This window comes from Homo sapiens, chromosome 14 (assembly GCF_000001405.40).
Source record: "Homo sapiens chromosome 14, GRCh38.p14 Primary Assembly".
Taxonomy (NCBI): domain Eukaryota; kingdom Metazoa; phylum Chordata; class Mammalia; order Primates; family Hominidae; genus Homo; species Homo sapiens.
In genome coordinates, this window is record NC_000014.9 from 63,368,253 (window position 1) to 63,392,794 (window position 24,542).

Genomic DNA, 24,542 nt, shown 5'->3' on the forward strand with positions numbered 1-24,542 from the left:
GAAAGAAGTCAGACACAAAAGGTCACATACTGTATGATTCCATTGATATGAAATATCCAGAATAGGTAAATCCATAAAGGCAGAAAGCATATTAGTGGTTGCCAGGGGCTGAGGCAAGAATAGGAAGTGACTGCTTCACGGGTACTATGTTTCCTTTTAGGGGGAAGAAAATATTTTGAACTAGAAAGAAATGATGGTTGCACAATATTGTGAATATATCAAATGTCAATAAATCATACACCATAACATGGCTACTTTTACTATTTACTATTGTGAATCTCATCTCAATTAAAACAAATTTTTAATCAACAGTACCTCTGTGACCTATAGTACAATACCAAAAAGTTAATACATAATTAGTGTCACAGAAGAAGGCAATAGAAAGAATGGGGCAGAGAGAATATTTGAAAAATAATTATTTCAAATATTTGACTAGAAACTTACCAAAAACATCATGAAAGATTATAAATTTAGAGATTTAAGTTCAATGATACACACACACACACACACACACGCACACACAGAGAGATCTAGATTCCTTTCTTACAACCTACACAGATGTTTATCCCAGAAATTTAATGTAATTAAGCACAATAAAACAATCATATCATTTTAATATATTTAATAAGTATTTAACAAATAACATTCTTCATTATAAAAACTCTCAGCAAACTAGAAATAAAAAGGTACCTCCTCAATCTGATAAAAGGCATCTAGGAAAAACCTATGGCTAACAACACATTTAATTAAGATTAAATAAATGAAGAGCAATACCATGTTTATGGATTATGTCTTAGTCCATTTTGTGCTGTTGTAACAGAATACCAGGGACTAGGTAACTTACAAAGAAAAGAATCTCACAGTTCTGGAGGCTGGGAAGTCCAATATCAAGGTGCTGGCATCTGGCAAGGACCTTCCTGCTTGTCATCCCAAGATGGAAGGCAAGATGTGGAGGTAAAAGGGGGAGGACTGGAGAGGGAGGGAGGGAGGGAGCAAGAGAGAGGGAGAAAGAGAGAGAGACAGAACCAAACTCACCCTTTTATTAAATAAAATGAACCCACTCCCTGTAATAACAAACCCACCCCCAGTCTCCCAGTAATGGCATCAATACATTCATGAGAGCACAGCACTCATGTAACCCCAATCATAATCCCACCCAGGCTTTTTTTTTCCCTTTGGTAGACATGCTGCTTCTAAATTTTATGCAGAAATGCAAAGGACTTAGAATACCGAAAGCAATTTTGAAAAATACAAAACTGAAAGACAACTTGATTCAAGACTATTATAAAGCTACAGCAATCATGACAGTGTGGTTCTGGCATAAGGATAAAAATATCAACCATTAGAACAGAAAAGAGAACCCAGACTTAGATATACACTTTTAATATATCTTATCTTTCTGATAAGAAAGCAGTTCTTTGGGGAGACTTTTCAACAATTGGCCCCACAATAACTGAATATCCACATGGAAAAACTGGACCTAGATTCCTATTTTACAACCTACACATAATAATCCAAGATGAATCACAGACCTCAATATAAAAGCTGAACTTATAAAGCTCTTACAGAAAAACGTGAGAGAATATTTTTTGGCCTGGGATAGGAAAATGGGGGAAGAACCGTTTCTTAGGTCACAAAAAACAATCATAAAAGCAAATAATTCTGCCTTTCCGAGAATGTGTATTGTATAATGAACACGCATCATAGAAGAATCAATCATGTACATTTAGACCCATTATTTAATTTGTGAGTCTCAATTTCCCCATGTGTTTAATAAGGCTAATAATCTCATTGATTTTTTTTTGTAATAATAAAATTGAGAATCTATCCAGAGGTTCTCTCATTTGGCTGATAGGCAATAAATGTTTATCTACTCTTGTTTCCAGTGGTCCACAAAAAGTATGTGCCTAATAACAAAAAAGCAATACTTTCTCCAAAAAAAATCATTAAAAAAAAGTCAAACTAATTCCCCTTTAACAATCACATACTTTGGTCTCCCTTAAAAAACTTTAAAAGTATAATGTAAACTTTAACAGAAACATTACTTATCTAATAGACATACTACTTATACAAAAATCTGTATCTTTAGTGTACATTTACTTTGCATCCATTCTTGTAAATATTTACTTATAGACAGGAAGCAACATTATGCAAAGAATTAAATATTTTCTTAAAATCATCTCTTAAGTCTCTTGAACCCTAAAATTTTCTGTTACAAGTTTCTTATTTCTAACTTACCAAGAGGTTGATCTTCAGGTGCTACAAGTGGTTATGCTTTGAAATACAAAATTGCTGACATATACAAGGGCTTTTCCCTTCCAAACCCAGATTAATTTTAATATGAAATATTAATTGGTTAATTCCACATGGTTCCAATTTGATGTAATTTAATTAGCTAAGGGCGTAGATCACACCTAAATCAAATACTTTACAAAAAAAAAAAAAAACTATCCCATGGTAGCTTAAAGATAACTGCAAATCACTGAAAATACTTCTCATTGATTCACAGTGAGGACTATGCCCCCTCCACTTGAATCTGAGCAGGTTCTGTGACCGCCTGACCAATAGAATATGATGGAGGTGATGCCATGATAGTTTCTGGGCCCAGGCCTCAAAGAAGAGGCAGTTTCCACTTCCTGCCTCCTAGAACCCAGCTGCCATGCTGTGAGGAAGCCCAAGAAGAAAGTACTGTGAGGAAGAACTGAGACCCCTGGTTTAACTCCAAGCCAAATGTCAGCACTAACTTGTCAACCATGTAAGTGAGCCATGTTGAAAGTGAAGTTTCCTGCCCCACCTGTGACACCCTGGTTGACACTCGAGGATCAGAGACACGATGTTCTTGCCAAGTCCTTCCCAAACTATAGATTTGTGATGAGAATAAATTGTTGTTTTTCTAAGCCTCTACTTTTGGAGTAGTATGTTATACAGCAACCGATACTGGACCATTTCCCAATATTACATACTCATAATCATAAACTGACTTCTCAAAATGAAAGCCTGAACATACCAACCCCACTGCCTCAAAGCTAAGTTAATCAAATCTAATATTTGTATGGTTCAAAAGGCCACGGAGTTCAGAAACAAACAAACAAAAACAGCCAGGCACCTGAAAACTCTTCACTGCTTCTTTATTATGATGCACCCACAGTACAGAACCTCTCACACATCTGTGAAAGGGGAAGGTTACATTTCTTTTTGGGGAGCACCTTCATTTTTGTTTCTGTTACCACTTTGAAGAAAGCAAATCATTTCCAAAGAAAAACATTTTAAATTCCAAGTGTTTAAGACTCAGCTTGTATTTTGTGGTGTTTGAAAAGGAAGTAGCATGTTTTAGCCAGAGGTGGAAGATTGTTTTGTGGCATTTTAAGTTTGATGTGGATCAGAAGTCTTCACTGTCTGGTTGAACCAGTCTATAATTTTCATATGCAACTTTTCATATCAAAAATGTTTCATTTTTACCTCTACTCACAAAGAGATGCTGTTTAAAAAAACACACACACAGCTAAATTTAAAACCGATCATGAACCACAGCATTACTAACAGGGAAAATGAACTTTTGCTGCCCTCTCCTGCTAAAACAATGAAATACTAAAATACCAAAAGATTTATGAAGCTAAAGCGAAGTCCTCAAACCAAAAGCAACAGACATGTCATTCTCATTATACTTCAATCAAAAATCAGACAACAACCAGAAAATGCATTGGTAATATTTATATTTGAAAATTCCCCATTGATACATGAGGTTTGGATTACAACTTATTTACAATAAGTGATTTCAAAAAAAGTAAAGAAAGAGGAAGGGAAGAGGGAAGGAGGAAAAGAGAAGCTGAGAGAGAAAAAAAAAAGAGAAAGGTGGGGGAAGGAGGGAGGGAAGGAAGAAAAGGAAACCTATATTCATAGACATCATAATATGGGATGTTTATTTCCAAGAGAGATACTACTGCTGCTATCGTGCACAAGAAGCAGCACAAATTAACATTCCGCTAGATCACAATTTGCTCAACTTTCTCTCAAGATGCACAATCCTTCTTTTAGGTTTTCAAAATTAAATATAGAGGAATATAAAATGCAATGCCAATATACCTACTACAAAAATCTTTGTGGCTCATTCCTTAACTCCACTCAGAGAAGCAGCTGAGCCAGAATACAAAAATAAAAATATTGATGTGCAAATAAAACATCAGTGATCATGTCTGGTGCCACCTTTTTGTTACAGGTGACTGTCACTTTATGATAACATTGGTAATAGCATCAAAAGAGAATCTCTTCATTTCCTGGGCCAGGTCAGTGCATCCAATTAAAAGGAAAAAAGGAAAACAAGGAAAAAAAACCACCCCAAACCCCAAAAAACTCTAAACACTTAAAAATGCCAATAACATCCATACATCCCTTTCCCATCCCACCCTCATCCCCACAAAAAAATAAAAAAGCTTTTAAAGCTCTAAATATACTTTTTTTGTTTCTTTCCATAGTGTGATTGAGCCTAGGGCTATACATTTAAGTATAGCAGGTGCAATTACAAGCAAGTCCTGGCTCTGCACCCTGGACTATCCCACGCATAGGAGGTACAAAATAAATTAAACCCTTTCATTTAGGCAAACAAGCCCAAGATGAAGGAGCATAACCCTGCTTGTGAGTATCCAGTGGCATCGAGGGTATTATTTATTTCTTTTTTTTTCTTTTCTTTTATAAAAAACAGTCAAATGTTAGGGAGAGCAAAATATAATAAAATTTAAAAGGACAAAAACTCAACACTGAAGGAAAACAACTGGGGATACTTCACAATGAGAAACAGGAATGCATGCTTGATTCAAAGTATGAGATGGGTGAATTCACTCACATAGTTGTTCTAGGCCCACAGCCTAAGGCCTCAGCGTCATTCTAAACCACAGGGTTGTGTGTATTTTTCTCTTCCAAAGACACTCTTAATCCTATCCCTGAAACCAATATGGTAAGGATAAGGTTGGAGTGATCATCACTCACTAACTACAATATTTGCTATTTAAAAAATATATTTATATATAGTTCTGGAAATTATGAAGCAAACAAAATATAACACAAAGATGCATTTGTCACAATTAACTCAAGTTGCAGCAACAGCAGAATTGTGGGAAGGGACAGAGAGAGAGGGCTGCTGCAAATGCAGCAAGTACGTCCTGAAATATGTCACATAGTGCAACAGTCAGATTACCTCAGTTACTCTGCGTCACCGCACACAACATGACTAATGTCACATTGTCACTTTCCATTAAAAAAGAAAAAGACGGTGTTTCTTCTCAGAAGTTGCCCTACGAATTTTAGACATATAGCTTTAATTGATTCTATAAATATGTCTAAAATGTGGCTTTATTCTTCTCAGTTTGGAATGATCAACATACAAAATTGACATCAAGGAGGAGAGCTGTAAGTGTTCACCTTTACTCTTGAAGACAGGGTAAGGTACAAAAAAGGATCCTGGCCTTTCTCATTTCAAATGACTGCATTTCATTCCAATGAGCAGAGATTCTTCATAAACCTGTGATTTTAATGTCTTCTACCTAAAAAGATGAATTAATGGCAAACAAAAGTTTACACTATATAAACTAAATATAATGCAGAGTTGAAACTAAAGGGCTAAAATGACAAGGGCTAAAAAGGAGAAGATTTGTTACAAATTTATTTTTTATCACATTGTTCCAGCATTTTTAAAGTCAGTTGTTTCGTCTTTGGCAGCCTCTGCCAACTTTACAGTGAATCCCCATCAATGTTCTTTAAAAAAAAAAAAAAAAAAACTATTAATTCCATTAAACCATGTTGCGTCTGGTGTTGCATATGACTTTTTTTTTTTACTGCTTTTTTTTTTCTTTTTGGAATTAACAATGCCAGTTTTGTTTGTTTTTTTACAAAGTTACCGAGATGACAATATCCATAATTAGCTGACTCTTACGTACACACTGTGACCTGATCATCCTGAAAAACTTTATGGGGGAGAAAGGTCAGCAGCTTCTCTTTCTTTTTCTTGAAAATAATAAAACTGCGTATTCTACTTTATATTTAAATGTAAGGAAGAAAATATACAAGCCCATATTTATATTGTATTTCTATTAAGAGCAACAATAGTTCATATGTTCATGTTTGCTACTATCACAATTCAACATATGAACACAGATCAGCTCTATACCATGAATACTGCTGGAAGTGATGGTTTAGGATTACCAACTCACTGCTGCCATGACCAAAACAAGCAAATGCATCCTGGAAATAAACCTCCAAACACATATCTTTCAGTACGTAATAATGCAACTGCATTAGGTAAGTACATACTGTACACAAATTTTATCAGCAGTTTACCTACCCAAGATGTAAGATTCTTCATTTAAATACAAAGCAGAGAGCCAATAAGATATATATATATATATATATATATATATATATATAAAATACAGCCCTAGATTTTGTTTTTTTTGTTTTTTTTTCTTAAACAATTTGGTCACGATGCACCTTTGATATAAAAGCATTTTTAAACTTTATTATTAATACTCAGGACATTAGGAATTTCCAGATTTTTTTCAGTAGCATTTGTAGAACCACTTTTGGTAACAAATACAGTAGTTAGGAATATGCATCCAATTCAGAATGCATAATAATGTTTATCCTGAATCCTTTCCGGCTAAAAACAGGGCTGGCGCTGTGATGAGATATAGAACGAGAATCTACAAAAAACACTGTAACATGTTTGTTTTTTCCCAGAGGCTACATCCTCTTTTGCTGGAATACTTTATAAATACATATTAAAAAGTAAGGCAACAACTCCAAACAGTCCAAGCTGTTTGCTCAACTCTTTTCCCAATTAGATTTGCAATCCCGGTGATCAATTTCATGGTTGTATTGTTTAGTGTTTGTCTTTCTTATTTCAAATGGTCCAAAAGGATGTTTTTCTCACATTTCTAAAACATCTCTGGTATGTGTGTTCAATGATATATGCAACTAATACTGGTCAGGTACTGAAGCCTGTGATGTCCCAGTGCCTGTTTTCAAAGGATTCAAGACATTGATTTGGATTCACCATAAACTGATGCATGAATCCGATATTCCCTTCCCTACTATGTTTATCACCTCTTCTCTCTTAACTCCTAATTTTAAAACTAAAGGAGTACCAGGACTACCTGGTTACTGGAAAGATGTTCACCCCAGTAAACAAAACTTTTATCAGGGACTTTTATAATTCATGACCCCATTCCACGTGGACATTCAACTCAGGAAGATGTGCAAAAGAAAAAGATGTTAAATTACAGTCAAGTTATCCAGAGGAGGATGTTACACAAACTTATAAGGAAATGACAGTCTTTTTTTCTTCCTTTACTATAAATACATTTAACAGCTTAGCAGAAAGACAAGCTAAATTTAAGATTGTTCACATTTGAAAATTGTATCATACTCTCTGCTAGTGATAAATAAGGAACTCCCGATAATGGAATTTTAACATAGCAATTTCATCAACAGATCTTTGAAGACCGATTTTTTTTTTTAAAAGAGGGTGAGAACAATGATTATGTTTGCAAAGTTCTGAGAAGTCCATCTACTGTCCAAACTTTGGATTGAAGTCCTTATTTTGTTTTTTCCTTTACTTAGAGACAGGTATATACAGTGCTGCTGTAATAATGAAACAAAGGTGAAATCTACTGTAAAGTTGCACAATACAGAAAACTGTTGCTCCATCTTCTACTACATAAACGTGTGACTCCACAGGTTAGTAATGTTGTTGTCATTGTTTTTGTTAAGTTGGAATTATTCCATCACGTCTAAGACCTCTCTTTAACTCCAGATCCTCCAATTTTTTCCACAATTCTTCACGCTCCTTTTCTTTCTTTTTCTCACTGAGGAAGAAACAGAATACAATGTAAACAGCTGAGGTTTAATGAGATTATGCAACAATGAATATTTTACAATTTCACCTTAACACTCCTTTATACTTAGCTTAATTGAGAAAATTAACTTTAAAATTACTAAGAAACAAAAATGGGAATGACTTATATGCATCAGTTATTGTAAAATCAAGGGCATATTAGTGATTTTCACTTGCAGCTTAGTAAGAATCTTAATTTTTCTTTATCTCCAAATAGTTTCTCAAAAAGGATGCTGGAGATGACACTGATACAGAGAATATAGTAGGTCAAGAAAATATATCTGCTCCTTTATTCCTATTTTTCCCACCTCATGCATATTTAAATTCTTCAGTAGTTTAGAAGAAACTGAAAACTTGTGATTTCACTTTTAATGATCTGAAAAGAACTTGGTTGATATTATTAAGTATTAAATTTTAATGCATCAAGCCTTCAAATTGGGTTCAATATCAATTTCACTGATTTTAAATTTAGTGATTTTCAGACTTTGAGATTTCACTATTTGGTAAAACTTCCCCCAAAAATTAGATGTCCAAATTAGAATCGACAAACTTTATATTTTGCCAAGGACATTTTAAAATTACATTTTTACAAAAAAAGGATTTTTAACATCAACCAAGTAGGAAGTACATGATGCAGGAATATAAGACTATATTGTAAGTTATATAAATTCACATTTACTAAAAATAATTCACTACACTGTCTCTGGTTTTTTTCCATGTTGCAGCGAACCAATAAAAAGCAGACCCAGGCTGGGCGCAGTGGCTCACGCCTGTAATCCTAGCACTTTGGGAGGCCGAGGCGGGTGGATCATCAGTGAGACCCCGTCTCTACTAAAAATACAAAAATTAGCCGGGCATGGTGGCGTATGCCTAGAGTCCCAGCTACTTGGGAGGCTGAGTCAGGAGAATCGCTTGAACCCGGGGGGCGGAGATTGTGGTGGACGGAGATTGCAGCGAGCCGAGATCACACCACTGCACTCCAGTCTGGGGGACAGAGCAAGACTCCGTCTCCAAAAAAAAATAAAAAAAAAAAAATGCTGATCCAGATTAACATTCATAAATCCAGGAATTCAGATAATTCCTGAAAATGGGGGCTCCACCATCTCAGGCATGGGGATGTAATCCATGCACTACCCCACTTAGCAAGGATTAAAACTTCAGCCACAGTACAATTTCTACGCAGGGAAATCCACATGGGTTGAGTGAAATTTGTATGTAATTCCAATGCCTCATTTTTTTTAAAACATTATAACCAATGTTTTTTAAAAGTTATATTAATATCTAGAGCAATAGAGATTAATCTTCATCCCCTCCAACTCCCAAAAAACTCAAGAAAAACCTAAGTAATTTTATATTCTTATTCCACTAGAGACTTGAGGAAATGTTGAATTATAATGCCATAATAGTCTGGTATTAACCAGAAATGTTTAAGACCATATGGGAGCACAAACCAGTGGAACTCTTTACAATAAATGTTTATGGCTTAGTAAAGCCATATGGTAATTAATATCATGATCTAATAGGTAATATTTTCATAACTTAGGCCTTGTTTACCATAATTAGTTTCAGCTATCTCAAATACAAATCTGCACAATATAAATTTCAGTAAGCAGACTAGTTTTCATAAAATTACCTATTTGTTAATTTTGACCCTGAAAAAATTGCACTTATAGGACAATAAGGGCAAGATTAGATAATCCTCCAATCTTCTTCTGGCTTTTTTGTTTTTGCTTTTGTTCTTTTCTTAGAGTCAGGGTCTCATTCTGTTGCTCAGGCTAAAGTGCAGTGGCACAATCATAGCTCACTGTAGCCTCAATCACCTGGGCTCAAGCAATCCTCTTGCCTCAGCCTCCTGAGTGGCTGGGACTACAGGTGTGCACCACCACTCCTGGTGCATTCCAGATTCTAAACATAATCAAGCTGTTTGACAAATTATCACTTTTTGTTTCTCAGTACAGTCTGGGAATAATTATGAGGTCTAAATCAATGTTAGCAAAAAACACAATTTGGGTATATATAAATCAATTGTATAGATCCTGCTGACTTTCGATGAATATGACCTTTTTATTTGGAGAGATAAGGGGATGGTAAGCAAGGGCTTGGAATTTTACTCAACTAAAAAACATTTCAATGTATTTCAGGTTCACATTGCCCTAATTTGCAGTTTTAACCCATTTATGCCAGAGGTTGTAAAACTTTCTTGTGAAAAATCAGACCTTGACGATGACCTTGAGCAGTGGGATAGAAATAACTCCCACAAGCTTAGCGTTCCAATAATGGAACACTAGGCATAAATTGGTTAATTAAGTGTTGACATCATTAAAACATTCATCATCTTGTTACTAAAGTGTTTCATGTTTTTGATCAAATATGGCACTCAATGCAATTTATCCTGTTGGGCTTTTCCTCCAACTGAGCATTATGCTCAGTTATCACACGGCTTTCATACTGACAACTCTATCTTTAAAAATCCTAAATATTGCTGACACAGTTATTGTCACCCCCAATCTTTCCCACTTTTCTCTCTCCCTGTAGGTGGAAATTTTAACGCTTAACCACACTGTCATGCAGGGGATATTGTCAAATTCTCTTCTAATTTCAATTTTACATAGCACTAATGTTGGCATATGTATCTAACAGTGTTAAGTACTTATTCCACCCACCATTTTCAGATTTGTAATACTTCAAAATTTGATCTGAACTGAAACCATTAACTTCTTGCCATCCTGAAGTAAAATTGTCCATTCAGTTATTCTCTGACAGTACCAACTAAATTTCTTCATTCCCTTGTCCTATTCCCACACCTATGGAGAAACCAATGTTTCCATCTGTCAGTACACCCTTCTATTGCTCATTTGACAAATTATTATTCTTGCTTTTAAAAACCCATTTTCTTTTTTTTTTTTTTCGAGACGGAGTCTCGCTCTGTCGCCCAGGCTGGAGTGCAGTGGTGTAATCTCGGCTCACTGCAAGCTCTGCCTCCTGGGTTCACGCCATTCTCCTGCCTCACCCTCCCGAGTAGCTGGGACTACAGGCACCCGCCACCACGCCCTGCTAATTTTTTGTAGTTTTAGTAGAGACGGGGTTTCACCATGTTAGCCAGGATGGTCTCGATCTCCTAACCTCGTGATCCGCCCGCCTCGGCCTCCCAAAGAGCTGGGATTCCTCTTGTTGCCCAGGCTGGAGTACAATGATGCAATCTCTGCTCATGGCAACCTCCCCTTCCCGGGTTCAAGTGATTCTCCTGCCTCAGCCTCCTGAGTAGCTGGGATTACAGGCATGTGCCTCCACGCCCGGCTAATTTTGTATTTTTTAGTAGAGATGGAGTTTCTCCATGTTGGTCAGGCTGGTCGCAAATTCCCAACCTCAGGTGATCCGCCTGCCTTGGCCTCCCAAAGTGCTGCGATTACAGGCGTGAGCCACTACGCCTGGCCCCCATTTTCTCATTAAGAAAGTACACTCATTATAAATAACTGTAATATGCCAGAATATCATAATCAACCTCAACCAGGAATAGATAAAATAATAGTTTTATCTATTCCTGGTCCCCTTAGTTAATTCTCATCTTTTTCAAGGGTTTAGTCTATTTAGTTTAGATAATAACCAGAAAATAGTTTTATTATTGAAGTTCACTAAATACAAACCAAATAATTTGAGTGGAAATAAGTTGTTCTTCAATATTCTCTCTCTTTTTTTTTTTTTTTTTTTTTTTTTTGAGACAGAGTCTCACTCCAATGTCCAAGCTGGAGTACAGTGGCATGATCTTAGCTCACTGCAACCTCCACCTCCCGGGTTCAACTGACCCTCCCAACTCAGTCTCCCTAGTAGCTGGGACCACAAGCGCATGCCACCGTGCCTGGCTAATTTTCATACTTTTAGTAGAGACAGGGTTTCACCATTCGGCCAGGATGGTCTCGAACTCCTGACCTCAGATGACCCGCCCGCCTCAGCCTCCCAAAGTGATGGGATTACAGGCGTGAGCTACCGTGCCCAGCCAAGTTCTTCAATATTCTTGATGAGATTCTACGGATTTAATCCTGGTTCAACTAGGATAATAATAATGTGCTTTCAGAGAAGATGTTATGCACAAAGCACCTTTAACGATGCAACACAGTATTAAAATGTACCCTTGGCCGTTTTTTTAAGTAACATCCTTTAAAGATTTTAAGTTTGGGGCAAGGAGGGTTATCATAAATTTATAATTTGCAACAATCGCTAATATACTGAATTAAAAGTTGTTTAGGGCTGGGCGCGGTGGCTTACGCCTGTAATCCCAGCACTTTGGGAGGCCGAGGCAGGTGGATCATGAGGTCAGGAGATCGAGACCATCCTGACTAGCACAGTGAAACCCTGTCTCTAGTAAAAATACAAAAAATTAGCCAGGCGTGGTGGCGGGTGCTTGTAGTCCCAGCTACTTAGGAGGCTGAGGCAGGAGAATGGCATGAACCTGGGAGGCGGAGCTTGCAGTGAGCTGAGATCGCGCCACTGCACTCCAGCCTGGGCAACAGAGCAAGACTCCATCTCAAAAAACAAAAAAAAAAAAGTTGTTTAAACTGTGAGTATGGAATAACATATCCCATAATTGATAATAATCCCAATATTCTGGGTAAAAAATCCCAGCCTCTTCTGAGATTCTCAGCTAAATACTCACCACATTCCATAATTAAGTTGGTTTTCATAAACCACATCCCTGGTAACTTAAAACAAAAAAATCATTGCAATGGTCCCTCTGCCATCAAACCTTTCCCCTCATTGCTCTTTTTATCAATAAAATGCAAGTTGACAGACTAAAAATGAGACAAAGCAAAGCACCAAGGGAACCAGAGAGGTTCAGCAAGACCCTGGGTATGAACACTCGCACACATCTCTGGGTCCTCTAAGGTCCATAGCTTTATGATATACAAAGCTGACATCTGCTTATGGATGATCAAAGCCAAACCACAGGCGCAACTACTAAGAGCTCTCTAGACTTCTATAATCTCCCCAAGTACATCTTTTGGAAAGTAGAATGCATTGGACAAGATTTTTACTAAGCCATAAGCATTTATTGCAAAGAGTTCCACTGGTTTGTTCTCCCATATGGTCTCAAACATTTCTGGTTAATACCAGACTATTAACCTTCATGTTCTTTTCACTGATCTTTAAATTGTAATAAATTTGTTGGGTTCTAGTAAGTCCTGGGCCCAAGAGCTAGATAAATGGTGCCTCATTCCCCCTGCTATTGGAGTGAAGTACAAGATCTGCCCAATTATACTTCAAGTAAGTTCAGAGTGGGAGTGAATCCCAGAGAGCAAACTACCTGATGGTCCCTTTAAGTGAACCTAAAATACCAGTTAAATGCTGGGCTCTTAACCCTGAGGCAGAAGTGAAATATTATTAAAGAAAGGAAAGAAAGCGGGCTTTATCAAAATGAGTGTCAGGAAGCTTTGTTACTCAGTGGCACAGTAATAAATAAATAAAGACACAGTTAATAAGTGTGCAAAAATGAATATATAAATACAGTCATGTGCCAAATAACAACATTTCGGTCAACACAGACCACATATACCACGGTGGTCCCATAAAATTTTAACAGGGTTGAAAAAGGCCTACTGCCTAGTGATTTGTGTTACAATTGGCTACGGTATTCACCACAGGTTTGTAGCCTGGGAAGAACAGGCAATACTACATAGTTCAGGTGTGTCATAGTAGGCTACACCATCTAGGTTTGTGTAATTACTGTATACTTATGATGTTCACACAATACAATTGCCTAAGGATGCATTTCTCAGAACATATACTGGTTGTTAAGTAATGCATGACTGTAAACAAAATTGTGCTGCTTAAGATTTGGGGTACAATTAGGCAACTTCAGCAAAGAGCAAGGAAAAAACTCAATAGCTTTATGCACAGCTGACAAAAAAGCTTTAAAAAGTTACCGCTGACGATCTGACTTGTATGTGGCTGTCAGCTCGTCAAACATGGTGCTGTTCATTTCCATAAATGCCTTCAACACATTGTACACCAACGCCACAATAGCCCTGGAAAGCACAGAAAAAAAGGAGTGTGTTAGTTAGTCTTATAAAATGGGATACTGAATGAAGAAAGCAAAAGCACAACTTTTGTCTGAATGATTTCTCGTACTGCACACTGTCTGTATCCTTTTTTAGTTGGAACAACTGAAAATGACCTACAGTTCATTTCCACATCAAGAGATTTCAAGGCAAGATAATTTTCTGAGGGGTGGTAGAACTAGAAAAAAAATCTAACTTTGCCCTTCTAATTTCTTTTTTTTTTTTTTTGCAACGGAGTTTCGCTCTTGTTGCCCAGGCTGGAGTGCAATGGCACCATCTTGGCTCACCGCAACCTCCGCCTCTTGGGTTCAAGCAATTCTCCTGCCTCAGTCTCCTGGGTAGCTGGGATTACAGAAGCGAGCCACCACACCTGGCTAATTTTGTATTTTTAGTAGAGACGAGGTTTCTCCATGTTGGTCAGGCTGGTCTCGAACTCCCAACCTCAGGTGATCTGCCTGCCTCGGCCTCCCAAAGTGCTGGGATTATAGGCGTGAGCCACCACACCTGGCCTGCCCTTCTAATTATTGGCACCCAGAATAGAGCTGCCTGTGGGCATTTGATAATTTCATTTAATAAAAAGGCAAGTATAATAGTAAAGCAATTTCACCCTAAAATAAGGATCTGTGATAGCACTAACCTTAGACATCTGAATTTGCATAGAATTCTATTTTCTAAATAACACATAATTCATCAAAATCAGAAGCTACTTCCCTAGAAACAAATGTTATATATATATGTGTATATATATAAATTATTCTTATCCAAAGAAATGAAATCAAGCCCTCATGTAGGTTGGGTGGTTCAATATGAATTATCTGTCTAGCTCTGATCTGCACCAGTCCTGCTGACCCAAAATATATGCTGATAACTGGCAAGCTGGGATGGTTGCTATTAGCTATGGGACACTATACAGCTAAACAGCCAAAATGGTAGCCCATACTTAACAAGAATTAGCTCTTGGGCAATGTGAGGACAAGGTTATGATGGGCTTGATAGCTTCAGACTAGAGTCTAAATAGCTTTTCCTTTTGCAAAAATATCCGTTGCTTCCGTTTTGCAACAAACATGCTCCTAATACCACTGAAAAATGCATTGGTAAAAATTAGCCATATATTAAATAAACCATGAGTCTGATGTTTCCAAAACATTTACAAGAAAGTACACTTGCTGTGTAGCTTCTGCCTTGTGCCATTAAAAGGAAAATTTAAGTTCTTTTCTGTTAAGGTTCCAGAATGACCTTCCTCCCAAGGGCAGTGATGGGAAAGCACCAAATGTAGTATACTGAGTAGTTACAGACACTTGCTAGAACCGTTCTCTAGGTCCTCAAGAGACTATCTGTATAAAGGGACTTAACTGTTTATCAGCTCCTTATTTTTACAAGTTCTATTAATATAATTAGGCAAATTTGAAAAATTAGAAATGTGATATTTTATAATTACATGCAAAATTTTTAAAGATAAACATATTATGAATATACTGAATTGTATCTCCCAATTTTTAAATACCACATTAAATTTTCCTTCTATTCCACAGAGAAAAATGTAAAGGCATTCAAATTCAGAATGCTTTAACTTTCATAGGGCTGGATGTTAAACTTCCCTTGATGATTTTAAACTCCTTCCTTTCCAAGAGATACATATAGCGACTGAGTTGGCTGTTAAATAGATCACACTAAAATGAAAACCTAGTCAGACCACTTCCCCACTTAACAACCCTTCAGTACTTCCTCATCATCTACTTGGTGAAGGCTCACACGAGTCCCACAGTCTTTTCTAGCCACATCCTCTAGCACCCTCCCCAAAAGACCTTGTGCCTCAGCCCTCCCAAACTCACAGGTCTCAGAAACTGACAGCTGCTTTTTACATCTTTGTGCCTTTTAACATGATGGATGGACCCACTGTCTGAAAGGGCTCTCCCCATGCCATCCACCTGCCAAATTCCTTTCAGATTCAGTCTAAGCATGGCCATGCTGTCAGTATCTACACACCTCTCCTCTCAGCTGCAGTGCCTCCCCAAAAGATCTGCTACCTTCATAGACAGATCAAGAAGCCTGTCTAGTAAACAGATACTTTAACCGGTATTTTGTTAAAGTATCTGTTTATTTTCTCCAGTCAGTGAATCCCCAGAAGGTAAGGATTTTATCTTTTCACATACGTCTTCAGCAACAAGGACAGCATCTGGCACATAATAAGGCTGAAGGGAAAGAAAGAGAGGAAGGGAGGAAGAGAACGGAGGAAAGAAACTGAAAACCTACGGATTCCAATGTTCTTTTGAAATCCTATAAAGGCTGGAAAACATGATGGGAAGGATGACGTTAGAGTTTTCTTCTATCAAACTCATGATGTATTCATTATTCCAATAATAGAGTGCTCTTTCTGCCACCTTTGGGAAAAGAAAAATAAAATGTTAAGAGAGAGAAAAAGACAAAGATAAAACAAAATTATAAATCTTTCCAAACAAAAGTATTTCAAAAGGCTATTTGTAAATCATTCAATTAGAGGTAAAATTAAATATTAATCACATTTTAATATATATATATTTTTTGAGATGGGAGTCTCGCTAGTGGCGCGATCTCGGCTCTCTGCAACCTCCGCCTCTCGGGTTCAAGCGATTCTCCTGCCTCAGCCTCCCGAGTAACTGGGATTACAGGCACATGCCACTATGCCTAGCTAATGTTTGTATTTTTAGTAGAGGCGGGGTTTCACCACATTGGCCAGGATGGTCTCGATCTCCTGACCTCGTGATCCGCCCACCTCAGCCTCCCAAAAGTGTTGGGATTACAGGCGTGAACCACCGTGCCTGGCCCACATTTTAAATGTTTGTGGATTTTTAATCTCTTGGAAAATTCCAAAGTGGGCCAGGCACGGTGGCTCACACCTGTAATCCCAGCACTTTGGGAGGCCAAGGCAGGCAGATCACTTGAGCCCAAGAGTCTGAGACCAGCCTGGGCAACATGGGGAGACCTCGCCTCTACAAAAACACAAAAATTAGCCGGGATTGGTGGCATGTGCCTATAGTCCCACCTACTTGGGAGGCTGAGGTGGGAGGACTGCTTGAGCCTGGGAGGCGGAGGTTGCAGTGAGTGGAGATCATGCCACTGAACTCCAGCTTGGGTGACAGAGCAAGACCGTGTCTTCTCCTCCCACCAAAAAAAAAGTCCAGAGTGGTTCAAGTGGTTCATCGACTCAGGGAAGGAAAAGAAGTTTTCCTGTTAATTTATATTCTTCTCTAATTCTGCCCATGTCATCTGATTCCACACTTTCCTGACATCACTTTAGCACATCTCACTGGTCCCCTTTCTTATGTTTTTCATCACACACACTTAGATCGAACCCAGGGCCCAGCATATGGTTAGCATTCAGTCACAGCTACTGAGGAACACCCACAGTTGCTCATCCCTGTAGAGCGGCCAATATTTACTAAGTACCTCCTATGGGCAGGCACTGTGCCTACACAGCAAGTAGAATGTATCATCCTTACCACCATCCCAGAAGGAGATACCATTGTGCTCATTTTACAGGTGAGGACACAGAGACTCAGGGAGACTGAGTAATGTAGGCAAGGTTACACTGACAATATGGTAAAGACTGGGGCCTCATTTCTAGGGCTTCTTCCAGAGTTTGTTTCTGGTCCCTTCCTGTGCAAGCCAGGAGATGTCTGCTCAGTTTCTGGTCTCAGGGACACTGGCTGCACCTACCCTCTCTGCTCTCTTAGATCCCTTTTCTCTGCCCACCATGCTATCAACTGGCTCTAATTTGGTCTGCTGGGCCTGATTGGCTCATCTTGGATTTCATGAATTCAAAAGAACATCTCAAAAACAAAACCTAAAATCTCTAAAAAGGGTAGTTACAGGGGAAAAGGGAAAAAGGGGTGGCTTCCTTCATTTATACAGATTAAGAAGCCCTGTTTTAGAAGAGAACAAAATGGTATAAGATGTATCTACCGAAAGACACTGAGAAAACAGAATTTTTCCATTTACATTATTCAGCTTGGTTCAAAAAACAAAACAAAACCCTGAGACTCATTAGGCACCAGACCCTGAGAGTACAAAGAAAACAATCATTACTGCATGTTCACTATATGCCAGGCACTGTGCTAAGTGTCCCACATATATAATATCTCATTTCCTCACAACCAACAGAGTTGGTACCATTACTTTTCTATTTTGTGGATGAAGAATCTGAGACTCAGAGAAGCCATTGGCTCAAGGTCACATGGCTAGTAAGTGGCAGATTCCAAAGTCTCTATTCTTAACCTCTTTACTCTGTTATCCCTAAAGAGTTCGCACACTGGTGGGAGAAGGGGCATCTACAAGCCTATCCAATGTAAACTGTGACAGATGCTATATCAGATATATGAATAAAGTGTCAGGGGAAGGAGGGGAAAAGAGCAGAATCAACAATCCAGATGACTTGGGAAACAGAAGGGTGGCAGAAATGTAACATAGGTGGGGCTGGGTGTGGTGGCTCATGCCTGTAATCTCAGCACTTTGGGAGGCCAAGGTGGGTGGATCATTTGAGGTCAGGAGTTCGAGACCAGTCTGGCCAACATGGTAAAACCCCCATCTCTACTAAAAACATAAAAATTAGCTGGGCATGGTGGGGCATGCCTGTGGTCCCAGCTACTCGGGAGGCTGAGGCACAAGAATCGCTTGAACCCGGGAGGCAGATGCTGCAGTGAACTGTGACTGTACCACTGCACTGCAGCCTGGGCAACACAGCAAGACTCCATCTCAAAAAAAAAAAAAAGAAGAAAGAAATGTAACATAGGCAAGTGGCATTTAAGCTCGGCTTCGAAGGATGAAGGAAAGGGCATTCCAGGTAGAGGGCATTAAGGAAAGGAGGACAGAGGCATGGACGAGGACAATGTGTTTGGGAATCATCAAAGCAAATGACGTAACTGACACAGATAAAGCAGGAGGCAAGGAGAGGGAGAAAAAAAGGAGTAAGAATGAGGCTGTTCTGAACATTCTAACTGGTTAGAGGAAAATCCTAGGTGCCTCCTTCTTTACTGGCATCCTCCCGTGGTCTCTTTGGACATTCCTCCAGAATCCAATATTTACCTGCCATTTAACTCTAACAACTTCCTTAATCTCTTATATATCCATTTTAATATGTAAACCCACTAATAAAAGTATGTATCCAGCCCCTTAAAGAGGAAAGGTATTGTTTATGCAAAGTTAAAAATTACTGTGTCTGACAACAGGACAGAGCCACTACTTTCCTGGGATCCACTGTCCTTCTGCACACACAGAGGCAGTGTCACCAGCGTGCAGACCTCAGATCTTAATGCCATACCTGAAGCAAGCAATGATAAGTGTCTGGCTACATAAGGCGGCCACTCAATAAATGGATGAACCAGCAAATTCATTAATAAATGTTTGTGGATGAACCAGCAAACATTTATTAATGAACACTTAATAAATAAGAGCCTCTTCCCTTTGTTCTCAATTTTACTTCTGCCAAATAATTTAAAATCCTTTTTTCTTTCTTCGACAAATTGAATTGTGTCCCCTCCACAATTCATATGTTGAAGTCCTAATCCCCAACGTGACTATATTTGGACACAAGACTTTTAGGAGGTAATTAAGGTTACATGAGCTCATAAGGGTGGGGTCCTAACCAGATAATACAGGGGCCTTATAAGAAGAGGAAGAGAGTGAGATTGCCTCTCTCTGTATGCACATGCCAGGAAAGGCCACGTGAGCATACAGCAAGAAGAAGGCCATCTGCATGCCAGAAAGCAGGATCTCACCAGAAACCAACCATGCTGTCATCCTGATCTCAAACTTCTGGCCTCCAGGGCTGTGAGAAAATAAATGTCGTTTAAGTCGCCAGTCTTGTTATGGCAGCCCAAGCTGACAAAGACATGGCCTCTCTTTTCTAAGCTTCTGAGTAACGCTTAGGCCTTTCTGGTGATGCTCTTTTTTTTTTTTTCTCCTTTCTTTTTTCTTTCTTTTTTTGTTTTTTAGATGGAGTTTCGCTCTTGTTGCCCAGGCTGGAGTACAATGGCATGATCTCAGCTCACTGCAATCTCTGCCTTCCAGTTTCAAGCGATTCTCCTGCCTCAGCTTCCCGAGTAGTTGGGATTACAGGCGCCCGCCACCACGTCCAGCTAATTTTTGTATTTTTAATAGAGACAGGGTTTCACCATGGTGGCCAGGCTGGTCGCAAACTCCTGACCTCATGATCCACCCGCCTCAGCCTCCCAAAGTGCTGGGATCACAGGCATGAGCCACTGCGCCCAGCCGATGATGCTCATTTTTAAAAAAATACTTGTTCCTTGACCTCCATAATGCCAAACATCCTGCTGAAAACTGAAAAAAATAAGGTAAACAATCCAGATGTGTGAGCACTAAAGGCCCTGAGTGGTATCAAAATATCTATATACTGTTCTGTAATTTTTCCATTTTTATTCAGGCTTGTCATGATTTCTATCTTCTTTTTTCTTGCTTTGCGGTACAACTGCTAGACTGCCATAAAGTCACTGCTTTAACATATTAACATGTCTTTTGGTCAGAAATCAAAACAACAGCAGCAGCTAGTGTCTCTAACTATACAGCATAGTTGACAGCTTAGGGAAAAAGTCCGCCATCAAATGACACCGTTAGAGGTCTGGTTCTGCGCTAAGAACCACAGTCTGAACAATCTCTTCCAATCAATAGGCACAGTCTAGGTTTATGAAACGGGCCTTAGGTGAGACAGCCAAAGAATCAAACCTAACGTGTGCTCCCCCAGTTTACCCTTCTTCCCTCCTGTGTGGGTTCCACAGCACTGCAGCCATGGCCCCAAGAAAGAAAAGTGTTGCCCCGAGTGGCCACGAGGAGGCAGAGCAGTGCTATGGGAAGGTCACCGGCTTTAGCAAGCAGCTACACCAAAGATCAAAATTTGACTCTACTCTCTATTAACTTGGGACCTATAGTAAATTGTTCTCCAAGCCTCATTTTTTTTTTTTTTTCATCTAGAAAAGCTTCAGAGGATAATGGGACATTTATAAATAATGTACCTAAAGTATCTAGCATAGTAAGGAATATTAGGTTTTCTCCTTTTCCTCTTAAACATTATTTAGCATTCTCTCTTACACACTAGAGAAACCTCACCAGCCCACTTATTTAGAAATTATCTGAAATACTTTTGACCACTTTGAGCTTCAGTGTTCACATCTGTATGTCTTTAAAAAAAAAACATAATGCCCTCCTTGCAGGGTGTTAGGAGAATTAAAGTTACTGGAGAGAAAGCACCATTACTGTGGCTGTTAGGCAGCAAGTGCTCAAGATAAGCTGGCCACTATTAAAATTATCATCATGTGAGGGGATAGCAAATAAACAATAGGTAGCTAGGGTCCATTACATTGCTTTTGAAACAAATAAAATTTAACCAAAATAACTCATGCTCCCTGGCTCATGTCCTCTTTACTACTAACCTGAAAATGGGGGCTAGATACACACTTGGCGATTTGTTTAAACAAAGGTTCTTGGATTTTAACAAATTGTGAAGGTTCAATCACATCCAATATTTCTTCCAGTTCCCCAAGGAACATGACCTGTAAGTACAAGCAAAATACAAGATGTGAGGCACATCATGAAAAAAAATCCATAAGAACAAGGAGGATTAATGAGAGTTTGGATTATTTTAAGAAAAATTTACACATAAAACCAAACATACATGAACCAGTCATTATCCCATGTTAGAAGATGTTCGTTCCACAAAGAATTCACCATAGGGTACTTGGAAAAATTCTACGTACTTGGAAAAAATACTCTACTTGGTATATATATTACATAGAACGAGGGACACTCACACACTGCACCGGCCCCTGAGAAGCAAAACTGACCCCGTAGGGCCTTCCTCTCTATTATTAGTAATCCAGCTCTCTTTCCACAACACTTTTTTTTTTAAAAAAAACAATGAGAAGGTGGCCCTCCTAAATGGAAGAGGCAAAAGTTCAAATGTGGTTATTTGCCAAATACGTACAGCCCCTGCTACATGCTCAATGCTCTAGAACGCACTCATTAATACAACAAAAAGTTCAAGAAACACAAATGAGCAGACTCACTCACATGCAGGTGCCACTTCAAACCCATAAGCATGCACTGACGCATTCTCGACACACACACACACACACACACACACACACACACACACACGCTTGCTCTCTACAAAGCACAGTGAATCTTGTGAACTCAGCACCGGGTGCCGCAAGAAACAGAGTTTTTAGATCACAATATGGAGCCAAATCTGCAGTAGAGTCAATTGTTTTAAATATAATGGGAAAATGACAGATAAATAAAAACCAGTTTACGTATTTAGCTATGAAAAAATAATTACTTTGAAAAAATAAAGTGAGCAATCAAAATATGAAAAATAACAATGCCTTCATATTTTGAGATGTATCTGGGTAGCAATGCACAGTTCAATTTTATCTAACAGATTTTAAGAAATTAAATGACTTTCTGAAATTAAAATAGAGTTTGGAGAATTGAAGCTGATTTGAGAAGGAAGGCGTTTCTGCTAAAAGTAAAATATAGTAGACCCTTGCCATTTGTTAATATGTATATGGAATTTCTCCCAAAGTTTTAACCAAATATAAAACTAACAGCTGATCTTTTTTTCTGAGCCATTTTCCACATGGTTGCTAACCTTCCAGAAGAATGGCTGCAGATCTGGTGCTCAGTTAGGCTCAACTCCAGCTAAGAAACTCATGCACTACCCCATAACAACCTCACAAAGTAGCACATGCCTGGTGAATTCTCAGCAAAGGTACAAATGATTGTAGGCCTGAACCCCCCAGGGTCATTTGTGAATGGCTGAAACTAAAGGTCTGTTGTCTATTCTAAGATGACACAGCAAGATCCACCTATACCATGCTTTAAAATGAGTATTTGGGCAGGCTGCTCTAGCGTCTATGTACAGTGACAGCAAAACCTTCATATTATGAAGGGGGCCACTCGGAAGGGAACATCAACAAAGCTAGACAACTGGACACCTGATTGGGGCCTGGCCTGGGCTTAGCGAGGCTGAAGAGCACAGTGAATAAAAAGACAGGGTTTAGGAGTCAAGGAGGCGAGTTCTGGCCTAATCATCTGTACTTACTTAGTGTACTGGGGCAGGCTATTTAACCTCTCTACAGTTTCATAACTAGTAAAACAAGAGTTCTGACAGCCCTGCCTTATAGAGTTACAATGAGGTTTAAATGAGATGATGCAGTTTTGCTTTGTTTTGTTTTGTTTTGTTTTGTTTTGTTTTGTTTTTGAGACAGAGTTCACTCTTGTTGCCCAGGCTGGAGTGCAATGGCACCATCTCGGCTCACTGCAAACTTCTGCCTCCCGGGTTCAAGCGATTCTCCTGCCTCAGCCTCCCGGGTAGCTGGGACTACAGGCATGCGCCACCACGCCTGGCTAATTTTGTATTTTTAGTAGAGATAGGGTTTCTCCATGTTGGTCAGGCTGGTCTCGAACTCCCGACCTCAGGTGATCTGCCCGCCTCGGCCTCCCAAAGTGCTGGGATTACAGGCATGAGCCACTGCGCCCAGCCCTGATGATGCGGTTTTATACATGCTTAGCCCAATCCTTGGCACTCAGCAAAATATTCAGTAAGCTATGAACACTCTCTGACAGTAAGCACTTACCTCTTTTTGACTACATGTTTTAGGCCAAAATTTCATTAACCCCCTAATAACCTAAAATGAAAAGGAGAAAAACAAATGGCATTTAACTTTTTCATATATACTTCTGGGAAAGGTAATTTTTCTTAAGTTTTTGAAATTATGGAAAAAAGACTTACTGGTTCTGTGAGTGAAGGATCTTTCTCCAGAAACTGTACTATACAATATGCCAGCTGAGTAAAAAATAAAATAAAAGGCAAAATTTTAAATTCTATACAGTAAGGGCTCAAAAGATACACTATTAAAACTTCCTAAAAGGTTTCCAGACTGCTTTTAATAACTTCACATTCAATTCATTTTAATTATCATAAAATCTATATAAAGTAAAATAAGAAACTACTTTTTCAAGCCAAAGACTAATATTAACAAGGCTCCAGGGAACTTTTCTTTAAAAAAGAGTATTAGGACATGAAATATGCAGCTAATGAAAAGCAGAGGTGAGACATCACATTCAGCATATTGTGGAATTATCTCACCTACATACACTTTGAGCTACATCTCAGGGGCTTCCTTTCTCTCTTTGCTAATATCAACAGTACTGAGTTTTACTGTAGTTCCACAAGAGTCCTCTATGGGAAGTAAGCACTTAATAAAAACTTTGCCAATTGCCTGAAATGGCACATGCAAACTAAAGCAGTTTCACGAGGAGATAAAAGGTTGTACCTGCCAGTCAGAACCTGGAGAAATGTAAGAATAGTTCTACATCTGGTACTAACACATCTAAGTAAGATTGTTTAAAATAATAATCATGAAATATGATATCCCATTTCAAAAATCAAAGGCAAGATTTGTAAAAGGGCTTGTAAAGATTCTTGGACAAGAAAACCACCCTCGCAAAAGAACATTTTGATGGTGTTCTAAATTAGAAACATATGGATTAATTTTTCCTCGAAATAGAGAATTTCACATTTAAAGAGGAACAGTGCTTAGAAAAATGTGTCA

At 38.6% G+C, this 24,542-nt stretch overlaps 1 protein-coding gene across 9 annotated transcripts in view; it reads right to left on the reverse strand.

Annotated features, from left to right (window-relative positions):
• Positions 1 to 3,111: 3,111 nt before the first annotated feature.
• Positions 3,112 to 24,542, reverse strand: part of PPP2R5E (protein phosphatase 2 regulatory subunit B'epsilon) — a 172,014-nt gene continuing 150,583 nt past the window's right edge. For 7 of the 9 annotated variants that reach the window (NR_104104.3, NM_001282179.3, NM_006246.5 and 4 more), the window contains 6 exons: positions 23,720 to 23,773; positions 23,565 to 23,615; positions 21,360 to 21,479; positions 16,192 to 16,319; positions 13,804 to 13,905; positions 3,112 to 7,856 (listed from right to left, as the gene is read on the reverse strand). Coding sequence is in view for 8 of the 9 variants with exons in the window: in NM_001282179.3 (NP_001269108.1) it covers positions 7,757 to 7,856; positions 13,804 to 13,905; positions 16,192 to 16,319; positions 21,360 to 21,479; positions 23,565 to 23,615; positions 23,720 to 23,773 (555 nt within the window). In the remaining variant the exon portion in view is untranslated. The remainder of the gene's footprint in view (positions 7,857 to 13,803; positions 13,906 to 16,191; positions 16,320 to 21,359; positions 21,480 to 23,564; positions 23,616 to 23,719; positions 23,774 to 24,542) is intronic. The other 2 variants (XM_047431543.1, NM_001282180.3) reach the window with 1 other exon arrangement.